The sequence below is a fragment of the Homo sapiens genome, chromosome 6 (assembly GCF_000001405.40).
Source record: "Homo sapiens chromosome 6, GRCh38.p14 Primary Assembly".
NCBI classification, from domain to species: domain Eukaryota; kingdom Metazoa; phylum Chordata; class Mammalia; order Primates; family Hominidae; genus Homo; species Homo sapiens.
In genome coordinates, this window is record NC_000006.12 from 47,586,772 (window position 1) to 47,598,879 (window position 12,108).

At 35.7% G+C, this 12,108-nt stretch overlaps 1 protein-coding gene and 1 pseudogene across 4 annotated transcripts in view; both read left to right on the top strand.

The window, feature by feature from the left end:
• The window catches only part of CD2AP (CD2 associated protein), a 149,475-nt gene that overhangs the window by 108,983 nt on the left and 28,384 nt on the right, over window positions 1-12,108 (top strand). For all 4 annotated transcript variants that reach the window (NM_012120.3, XM_005248976.2, XM_017010641.2 and 1 more), the window contains one exon: window positions 9,090-9,255. In NM_012120.3, coding sequence (NP_036252.1) covers window positions 9,090-9,255 — 166 coding nt within the window. The remainder of the gene's footprint in view (window positions 1-9,089; window positions 9,256-12,108) is intronic.
• LOC100421517 (DnaJ heat shock protein family (Hsp40) member C17 pseudogene) lies at window positions 10,386-11,172 on the top strand (annotated as a pseudogene).

A 12,108-nucleotide genomic window follows, 5' to 3' on the forward strand; every position in this document is an offset into this window, starting at 1 on the left:
TAGATATAGAAGACATTTTCCCTCCATTTAAAAATCTCACAAGAACTGTTCACTGGAATGACTTGAAAACTTAATATAAAGTGTTGGTTTTGGAGTTTTAGGGTAGATATGAGAATTTTTTTGTATATAGGTTAAACAAGAGAAGGCATAACAAAGGAAATGATTCTAAGTATTTTCAGAATGTTCTCATACACCTGATATGCCTTTAATAGATCAGGTACCATGAATAAGAAAAATGTCAGTGTTTTGCCAGTGACCTTTGGACACATGCATTCAGAGAGGGCCAGTTGAATATTAAATATTGTTAAATTATTTTTTACTAAGTAACAGTAAACATAAATCAAAGTTCTACCCTTGTTCCCATAGTTGAGAGAGGGAGCATTTTCAAATCATGGCTAGGACCAATTTGAAGCGTCTTAAGCCTTCCACCAAGGAAATAAAGCATTTTTCATTTGTATTTGTGTTCATGGTTTTTATCTCATGATCTTAGGTTCCATGGAAGGTATCCTTCGAAAAGCTCTGTTCTGTCAGAGATGTGGGGCGCAGAAAAGAGCTACTTAGAAACCATGAAACTGATCACCCCTCTATTTTGGACTCTTAAGTGATTCCCCGTTATTTCATGGGATATTTTCTCAAATGTTTAGATAGGTGATTAAACTCTCACTTTCTACTTTCTGTCCCAAGCCACCACGTGGATTTTCTCAAACCTGCTTAGCAGTTCTCTGCCCCTCTGTTGTTTTCATTTTCCCAGAAGTACCTAAAATCCTGGCAAGCTGTGTCCCAGAATGGTAATAATATTACCACTTTGAAGCACAAGTTATCCTGCTTTTTGAGATGTCCTTTTTTGTATTTATCTTTCAGTAAGATACTCATCATGTCATTGGTATGAAATTCATGATACAAAGGGAGGAACTCATAATTATTTTGGAATGCAAGTAGGGAGGCATGTAAATGTGTAGAAGAGAATGTAACAAAGGTGCTGTTTCTTATAAAATCACTAAAATGGTAACTTTTATCTTATGTCCTCCTCACTTCCTATACACACATACACAGTCATACCCACAGAAAGAGCATAAAATGGTGCTGAAGGCCAGTCTGGTTCTATACTTTCACTGGTAGAAGCAGTGAATCTGCTCACTTTTGCTTTAGGAGCATTTCCTTCTGAATTCTATTATTGTAGGCTCATGGCTTCAGCCACCATTTGTATACTTCTGATTCCCAGTCAGTGGATGGATTTATTTACATTTATTGCTTTCCGTGTGTTTGCAGTTCCATCTGTTTGCATTTCATACTTTCTGTCTAAAATACATACTTTTTTAGGGGACATCCTTCTTTCTCTGGAATTGTACTTCTCTCAGAATCTTTCATGGCCAGGTTTTTCTCATCTTTTAGATTCCAGCTTAAAATTTTGCTTCCTTGACAGTATTTTCCTTACCTACACTATTTAAAAGTAGGTATTTCTCATTATTGTCTGTTACATATTAGTTTAGATGTTTGTTTTGGGATATTCTTTACCCTGCACTTGGTTAAACTCCATGAGGGAAAAGGTGTGTGTATAGATACCTGTACCTTACTTGCCATTGGTTCTCTAATGCGTTACACAATAGGTATATAATACATAGGGAATACTTAATGCAGTACTTATTATATAATATGAAGGATTCTTTAAAATCTGAAGGATTCCAGATTATGACGTGTTTACATTTGTTTTTCTGAAACTTCCTTCTAGTGGTATTTAGCTAGATAATGGTGGTGTGGATAGTGGAAGGTGGTATGGGTAAAAGGAAGCTGAAGTGTTTCAAGAGCAAAGAACAGAAAATCCTTATTGAAACTGACTTAAACAATAGGGAAAACATCTCACATAATTGAAAGTCTAGAAGTAGGAGTCATATGACCTGCCACTCAGTGATTCTGTTATGGACCTGAATTATATCTTTCCATTCTGCCATCCTCAGTGTACACTTTATCTTCAGACTGTCTCCTCTTGTGATCACAAGAATGCTGAGAGTGGCAATCAGGGCGACATGATTTCTTGTCCATTTGACAGAAAAGAGAGGAAAACCTCTCCCCAACCATAGAATGTAAGTCCTTTCAGTTTCTTGGACCACTTTTGAGCACATTTACCTCTAGACCAATGAAACTTATAAGAAGAATACTATTTACTGATTGTCTCAGTGTAATCATATGAAAGTAGGATTGATTTGGGAGGACTCAACTGCATTGTCTGCTGAAGACTTTGAGATATATTTAGGATCTATCATAAGGAATGCAATTTAGGTTCTACTTTGACATCTTGTTGACTAATGAGATACTAATGATTATGACGATGGGGAAATGAGATAGGAAGTATGGAATAGAGACAGTTTCTGGAGGAAACCATGTGAATTCAGCTTTTGACATGGGATTTGATACGAAATATTGGCTGAACTTTTACTAAGAGTTTGTATTAAGTGTTTAGTTGGAAGGTGCTATTCTGGAAGTTAGGTATTAAATTTACAGGTATGGGTAAGATTGTCCAAGAAGATTGCTTAGCGTAAGAATGCGAAGAGAGCTTTCTCAGGATATATACATTTAAGAAGTTGTTTGATGACCAGGAACTCTTGAATATACACACACACACACAAATGTATATACACACACATATATATACACAAATATACACACATACACACACACAAATATATATACATATATACACACACATATACACATATGTATGTGCACATATATATACACATACGTATGTACACACATATATACACATATGTACACATATATATACACACACACACACATATATATATATATATTTGTCAGAGTCATCTGCTAGAAGTAGGAGAGCTACAAATAAAATGAAGAATCATAAGATCAAGATAGAGGGGAAGAGGAGAGCCCAGTAAAGTCTGGCATTGGGGCTCATATTTCCTGTTGGAGCATTTGCCAATCTTGAAAGTGGTAGCTTAGCCTATGAAAAGAACTTTCGATAGACTTTTGGGCTCAAGGAGACAAAAATTAGAGTTCAAAGCTCATGAAAGAGGAGGTATCCTAGTGAACTAGGTTTTGATTTAGTTCCTAAAGGGATTTACTGTTGGAGGAAGTATGAAATGGAAATAGACCTAACTCTGAGGAACACTGAAGTTCAACTTCTAATAATCTCAATTCTTGATGGGAGGAAGGTGACCTGGGATTTTTACTATCCCTACCTTAGCTTACTGAAAGAATGAAAGTAAACCTTCATTGTCTAGAGAAGAAGACATCATCTAGAGTTTTAAATTATCTCTATGTTTTCCTGTAAATCTTTTGTGTCTTGTACTCATTCAGAGATAATTAGGCATACTGATAGATATGACACATGGCTAGAAACCAAGAACAACAGACAATGGAACCTGGCCTTTAGGGGATCTAGATATTAGAGATACTAGATATAAGCTTTAAAGTAACTGTGCTTAATAAATGTTAGAAGTAATAAAAGATGGGGTTGATAATTTTGACAGAACTAGAACCTTGTAAGTATATATGAATATGAGTCAGTCTAAGCTTAAATGAATTTGTTTACATATATAAGTATATATAAATATATACACACAAATGTTAATATATGTGTGTATATTTTTAAAAGAAAATATCTGAACTGAAACATAAGGAGACAAAAAAGATAGAAAATATGGAAAAGACCTTAAGAGACATAAAGAATATGGTTGACTCTTGAACAACATGAGTTTGAACTATATGGGGTCCACGTATACACAGATTTTTTTCAGCCTAATGGGGAATAAAAATACAGTATTTGTGAGAATACAAAACCGCATATGAGGAGAGCCAACTTTTGTGCAGGCACGTTCCACAGTGCTCACCATCGGGTTTGAGTATGTGTGCTTTTGGTATACGTGAGGATCTTAGCACCAATCCTCTGTATATACAGAGGGATGACTGTACAGTGGGAAGGTCTTATGTACATGTAATTGGAGGACCAGATAGGAGGGAGAAAAAAATGGAGCAGAAACTGTATTTGAAGATACAATGTTTTTCAATTTTCTAAAAGTGATTAAAAGCATCAGGCCACAAAACCAAGAATACTATGGAATCCAACCTGGATATATGCAAAGAAAACATTGAGGCAAGGAATTGAAGAAGACACACAAAAAAATGGAAAAATATTCCATGTTTAAGGATTGGAAGAATCAATATTGTTAAAACTTCCATACTACCCAAAGCAATCTGCACATTCAGTGCAATTTATAACAAAGTTTATAAATTTATAACAAAGTTGCCATTGGAAACAGCACAAATGTTCAACAGCAAAAGAATGGGTAAAAGAGTTGAGGTATATTCACATACCATGTTACCACGTAGCAACAAATAAATGAACGAGAGCTACACACAGCAAAATGAATCTTAGGATTTCGTTGACATAAAGTTAAAAATATTCATAAATAATCTGTGGTGTTAGAAGACAGCTTGGGTGGAAGCAGGTGGGGTAGTGATTGGGAAGAAGGATAAGGGTAACTTCAGAGATGTGGATCATGTTCAGTTCTTGGCCTATGTGGTGGTTACTCTGGTATGTTCATGTGGTAATAGTTTCTCAAACTTTATACTTACCATTTCTGAAAATGTTATGCTGCAGTTTAAACTTCAGTGAGATAAATACGAATAAATATATTTTGTCCTAAAATTTTCTAAAATGTTAGGAAAATAGGTTCAATTAAGAATAGACTCACTACTTTTTAGGTAGTACATTTTTTCTCTAAGGCATCTCCAAGTGATCACAAAGAATAGAATATTTGATTTTTTTAAATTAGAATTTATGCACTTGGAATCACTCCTGTTTTGGTGCCCATATTATCACTTATTTTTCCATTTCAATTAATGCAGTAGGACATTGACCCTCATCTGAATTAATAAATGGGTTAACTTATTACGTACAGTGTTGGTAATGTATTGCTATATTCTGAAGCAAATAAAAGGACATATTTTGGTTATTTTGTTGTATTTTGTTAGCATACATTTTAGACATTTTTGTTAAAAAAATTATATACCTGAGATAACTCTTTTCTGTATTTCATTTTCTTTCTTGGAGACAGGGTCTCACTCTGTTGCCCAGGCTGGAGTGCAGTGATGTCATAGCCCACTGCAACCTCAAACTCCTAGGCTCAGGTGATTCTCTCACCTCGGCCTCCAGAGTAGCTGGGACTAAAGGTACATGTCACCATAACTGGCTAATTTTTTAATTTATTTTTTTCTTTTATAGATATGGGGGTATTGATTTGTTGCCCAGGCTTGTCATGAACTCCTGGCTTCAAGCGATGCCCCCATCTCAGCCTCCCAAAGTGTTTGGGTTAAAGGCATGAGCCACTGCACCCAGCCTGTGTCTTAAATTATCATAATATCTGTACCTTATGTAATTCTTCCTTGGTCATTCAGGCAGCTAACATAGAACTTTTTTTTTTCTCCTTAAATCTACATTTTCTCTTGGATTTGGCAAATTTTTAGCTGAACTAACATTCTAGTACTCACAGCTGGATGTTCTCAAAAGAATGAAGTTGGAGCCCTACCCCACACTGTAAGCAAAAAGTAACTGAAAATGGATCATTGACCTTAAATATAAGAGTTAAAACTCTTAGATGAAAACAAGAGTAAATCTTCATGGCCTTGGATTTGGCAATAGGTTTTTAGATACGTGTGATATTGTGATCTAATAAGGAATGTGCATTTAATATTTGTCCCTGGTTCCTGGCACCATAGCTCCTAAAACCCTTGAAATTTCCTGAGTGATAAAGGTGAGAGGAACATCTTTTGTTATTTATAACAAGCATCTTTCAACCACGTCTGAGTTTATATTAATGAGGAGGCTTTTGTAAAGTCCCTAAGGATGGGGAGGGGCCTTGTTGCCAGGGGAACCAACCAAATGTTTAGCTTTCATTAAAAACCCTAAACAACAGAGTTTAGAGAGCTCATGGGTTTGTGAACACATTGAGGGGATAGGAAGGTGGTACACCTGGAGAAGTTACGGAAACTCTGCATCTCTTCCTGCATACCTTGCCTTTTGCATGTGTTCCATTTGGCTGTTCTGAGCTGTATCCTTTATAATAAACTGTTAACAGTGAGTAAAGTGCCTTCCTGAGTTCTGTGAGCTCTTCTAACAAGTTATCAAACCCAAGGAGTGATCATGGGAATCCCCAATTTATAGCCAATTGATCAGAAGTACGAGAGGACAGGACTTGAGATTGGAATCTGAAGTGGGAGCAGTCTTGTGGGTCTGAGCCTTTAACTTGTGGGATCTGATGCTAACCCCAGAAAGACAGTGTCAGAATTGAATTAAATTATAGGACACTCAGCTGGTGCCAGATAATTGGTTGTTGTGGGAATAAATCCCCACACATTTGGTGTCTCAGAGTGTTATGAATCTAGAGAAAAGTATTTTGTTCTTTTTAGACTATGTCACAAAAAGCATATTTAACCAAAGAAAAAATAATTGTACTTTATCAAAATTAAAAACTTATATGCATTAAAGGACATTAAGAAAGTAAAAAGACAACTTACAAAATGGGAGAAATCTTATGAGATTTGCAAGTATCTGGAATATGTAAAGGACTGTTACAACTTAACAACAAAAAGACAAACCTGTTTAAAACTGCAGCACAGGCTGAAATAGGTATTTATCTAAAGGAGATATATAAGTTTTGTTTTTTATAACAAGCATGTTTATAAGCATGCTTGTTATATAAGCACTTGAAAAGATGTTTAACATCATTAATCATGTCAGTAAGCACTTGACAAGATGTTTAATATCATTAGTCTTTAGGGAAATGCAAATCAAAACCACAGCGAGCACCACTTCACACCCACTGAGATGGTTAAAAATTTTTTTAAGAAAGGAAAATAAGTAATAAATGTTTGCAAGGATGTGGAGAAATTGGACTTTTATACATTACTGGTGCAAATAGAAAATGTTTTAGCTACTATGAAAAGCAGTTAGGTGGTTCTTCAGAAAGTTAAACATGGAATTACCATATGACCCAGCAGTTCCAAACGTCCAAGAGAATTGACAACAGACTCTCGTGTATTGTATGTAAATATTCATAGCAGCACTATTTACAGTAGGCAAAAGGTAGAAGGAATCCTCAATGGGTAAACAGATTGTGTTTTATATATGTGTGTGTGTATGTTTAATGGAATATTATTCAGTCACAAAAAGGAATGAAATACTGCTATATGTTATGAAGAGGCTAAACTGCTAAAACATTGGGCTAAGCGAAAGAAGCCAGACACAAAGATAATTGCATGATTCCATGTGTATGAAGTATCCAAAATGGGTAAATCCATAGAAGATAGAAGGCAGGTTGCTGTTTGCCAGGGGTTAACTAATTAATGAGGAAAGGGTTATCTTCTGGGGTGTTGGAAGTGTTTTAGAAGTAGATAAAGGTGGTGGTTGCGTAACATCGTGAATGTACTAAATGGCACTGAATTGTTCATTTTAGAATTTTTAATTTTGTGTTATGTAAATGTCACCTCAACTAAAAAAATAAAATCTAGTACATAAATATGTTGCCATCTTATAGTAGTTATATAATAAGTCAGTACCTTATAGTTGATTTAGTTATGGACATAACCAGGAATGATGAGTCGTATTTTTGTTACCTTTTGATTTCCATGTATTCTTTTTTTTAGACTAACACTACAGAATTTCAAGCTGTTATTTGTGTATTCTGTTAAAATAAATATATTCAATCAGTGAACTTCTCTTTAATTTATATCCTTTGACCATTTTTCTTGGTATGTTATATAAAACATCTCTTAATTTCTAGAAATTTAAGTTTGGCTGGTTGTTATAACTACAAATAGCTTTATTTCGTTATTGATTTCAATTGGAGAGTTTGGTTTTTTACAAATTCCTGGTGGTATAATTATATATAGTACATTGTTACATCTTGAGGCCATATAAAAATAGATTTTTGTACCAAATGATGACCAGAATTTTATAGACTAAGCTATATTTTCATATGATTCAAAGTATTAAATAAGTGGTAAAAGTGAGAAAATAGTATTTTGTATTCATTGTGAAATAAGACTTGTAATTTTTAAAAGGAAGAGGTTTAGCTATGTGCTACGATGTTCAGGTTTTATAATCACCAGTTTCTGGTTGATATGAAATCTTACAGAATTATTTGTGGTCTTGTGATAGACATTTTTTTCAAAGACCAAATAAATTTTGAAAATTATTCAGTATGGTGCTTAGGAGCTTCTTATTTTTGTATATACGTCTTAAGACACATTTTAGCTGACTGCTGTATTATGACTATCTCATGTATGCATGTGTCAATTTTAATACCTATTTATGAGCACCTGAAAGATCAGGAAGCAGGTATGTCATGTGTAATAAAAGAGTACTTGTTGCCTTTTTGGTGATAAAATTGTCTTTATTGACATAGTATAAAATTGTCAAAATTGTTTTTTTCCAGCTTATTTTCTTCTACTTCAAATGGAAATACCCATTTCATTGCATTATTAAATGAAATGGTATTAATAAAATTCTTAGTGCAGTACTAAGAATTACAAATATAAGCCTATAATTCTCTCGTCTGTGGCTAAGCAGTCTTGCCCTAGTTTCTCTTAACATTTGATTTTTTTTTCCTTCACCATCATGCTTTTTAAATTTGAATGTTATATAGGACTTGAGTTTCTACTTGTTTTTAGTTCTCTATATTTCAGTTTCAGAAAATAGTCTGGATTTAAGTCTAGATAATTTTCTGGTTAGAGTAAAATCATGTGTGGTTGTATTTGAGATAGACTACTACACTTAAAAGCAAAGCTTCCTGGGAACATAATAAAAAGCAGGCATTATCTACTAATCGGAAGCTTATTAGTGGTTTTCCTCTCTACCATAATAAACATTTTTTAAAGTTATTTAGGATTATTAAATTAAAATATAACTTTAAAATAAGTAAAACAGTGCACATGTATACAAATACAGAGAATGAAAGTTCATGTCTGCCTCTGTCACACTTTTCCAGCCTGATACAAACTTTTGGAAATAGAAAAACCTAAATAATTTTGATTGTTAATAACTTGTGAAATATTTTAAATCTTAGATGAAAAATCAACACTGGAACAGAAACCTTCTAAACCAGCAGCTCCACAAGTCCCACCCAAGAAACCTACTCCACCTACCAAAGCCAGTAATTTACTGAGATCTTCTGGAACAGTGTACCCAAAGCGACCTGAAAAACCAGTTCCTCCACCACCTCCTATAGCCAAGTAAGTTTTACCTAATTTTAAATTAGCTTACTGATTTACTCACCTTTGACCTTAATGGCTCTATTGCCTTTCTAAATCTCCAGGTATGTTTTTTCTTATTTTTCAGTTATATTTATTTTTAAAATTGACATATACAATTGTGTGTATTTATTGTATACAACATGATGTTTTAAAGCGTATATATAATTCATTGTGGAATGGCTTCGGTAACTGTGATAACCTCACATAGTTAACATTTTTATGATGAGAACACTTAACATTCACTCTTAGCATTTTTAAAGAATGCGGTACATCACATTAACTGCAGTCACTAAAATGTACAATGGATTTCTTAAAACTTATTCCCTCTATCTAACCGTATGTATTCCTTGACCACATCTTCCCACTCCCCTCCAACTCACAACCACTTCAGGCTCTGGTAATCACCATTCTACTCTATTTCTATGGGATCAACTTTTTTAGACTTCACATTTGAGTGGAGAACATGTGGTATTTGTCTTTCTGTGCCTGGCTTATTTGACTTAACATCCTCCAGATTCGTCGATGATGTTGCAAATGGCAGGCTTGCTTTCTTTTTTTATGGCTGAATGGTATTCTTTGTGTATATATGCCACATTTTCTTTATTCATTCATCCATTGATACTTTAGGTTGCTTCCATATTTTGGCTGTTGTGAATAGTGCTGTAGTAAACATGGGAATGCATATATTTCTTTGACATATTGATTTTATTTCCTTTGGATATGGACCCAGTAATGGAATTGCTAGATCATATGATAATTATCTTTTTAATTTCTCGAGGGACCTTTGTACTGTTTTCCATAATGGCTGTGGGAATTTACATTCCTACCAGCAGTGTGCAAGGGTTCCCTTTCCTTAAGATGCTCACCAACACTTATTATCTTTTATCTTTTTGAAAAGTTAAAGTTTATTTTAATGTTGTAAATAACATCCAAGAAGAATATAAACATGTTGAAAGCTGGATATGTAAACAAAGATCACAGGCAGGTTCTGGGAATTTTATTGGAGCTTTGGTTATTAAAATGCATCAGTAAATTCCCAGGGTGCTAAGCACTATTCTGTTGGCTGTGCCAACAGTCCTCATGCATGCTTAAAACACTTGGGGGAATTATAGTACAAATCCAGTCAGGGTTGGAACCATGGCAAACCAAGGGCTCTTAGAGATGGACCTGTTTGTGCTGCTAGGCATCATGGAGAAAGCAGCAGACGAAGAGGTGAAGGAGGCTTATAGGTAGAAGGCCCTCTCCTGCCACCCAGACAAGTTGGATAATCACAGAGCAGCTGAACTCCTCCACTAGCTTTCTCAGGCCTTGCTGCAGCCAGGGCTGCATATGATGATGTTAGAAAAGCCAAGAAGCAGACAGCATAGAGGACCCAGAGGCTTGATGAGAGAATAAAAAAAGCTAATCATGACCTGAGGCCCAGGCCCAGGTGAGTGAGAAGGTGGAGGAAAGCTAGAGCACCAGGACACTTGAGCAGGAGATTGAACATCTTAGTGAATAGTGTTCATGGCAGCTGGAGGAACAGCAGATGATGATCCAGGAGCAGATGTGCCAGGAACTTGACTTGAGATTAGAAGTCAGAAAATACTGAAGACAAAGGAACCCAAAACTAAAACTGAAATGGAAGTACAAGAAGGATGAGTCAGAAGGCAGTTACTCCAAAGGTGTCCTCCTGTGGCTTTTGCAAAAGTATGGTGGAATTCTCAACCTGGTGCTTTTGAGTAAGAAGGCAGGTACTGGTGTCGTGGAGTTTGGGACTGTCGAGGCTGCAGAGATGGCTGTCTGGAATAAAGTTGGCCTGGGTGATAATCCTGGAAAGATTTCCTCTTTCAAAGGAGGACTCCAGGGTGCAGTGGGCCCCACCCACCCAGGACAGTGAAGGGACCCAGTGGTGTCTCTTCTTACCACATGCAGCAGTAGTCAAGGAATGGCAGCCCATTTAGTCTCCTGCCACAGCCTTCCTAAGTCACAGCCCTTTTTAAAACATCACCAATAAACTTTAAAAGCAAGAAAGAAACAATCCCATCAGAAACTGGACTAAGTACATGAATAGACAGTTCTCAAAAGAAGATATACAAATGGCCAACAAGCATATGGAAAAATGCTCAAAGTCACTAGTTACCAGGGAATACAAATCAAAACCGCAATGTGATACCACCTCACTTCTGCAAGAATGGCCATAAATCAAAAAATCAAAAAATAATAGATGTTAGCATGGATGCAGTGAAAAGGGAACACTTGTACACTGCTGGTGGGAATGTAAACTAGTAGAACCACTATGGAAAGCAGTGTGGAGATTCCTTAAAGAACTAAAAGCAGATCTACCATTTGATCCAGCAATCCCACTACTGGGTATCTACCCAGAGGAAAATAAGTTATTATATGAAAAAGATAACTTGCACATGCATGTTTATAGCAGCACAATTCGCAATTGCAAAGTATGGAACCAGCCCAGATGCCCATGAATCAACGAGTGAATAAAGAAATTGTGGTATATATATATACCATGGAATACTACTCAGCCGTAAAAAAGATGGAAAAAATGGCATTCACAGCAACCTGGATGGAATTGGAGACTCTTATTCAAGTGAAGTAACTTAGGAATGGAAAATCAAACATTGTACGTTCTCCCTAATATGTGGGAGCTAAGCTGTGAGGACACAAAAGCATGAGAATGATACAGTGGACTTTGGAGACTTGAGGGGAAAGGGTGGGAGGGGAGTGAAGGATAAAAGACTGCACATTGGGTACAGTGTGCACTGCTCGGGTGGTGGGTGCACCAGAATCTTAGAAATCACCACTAAAGAGCTTATTCATGTAACCAAATGCCAC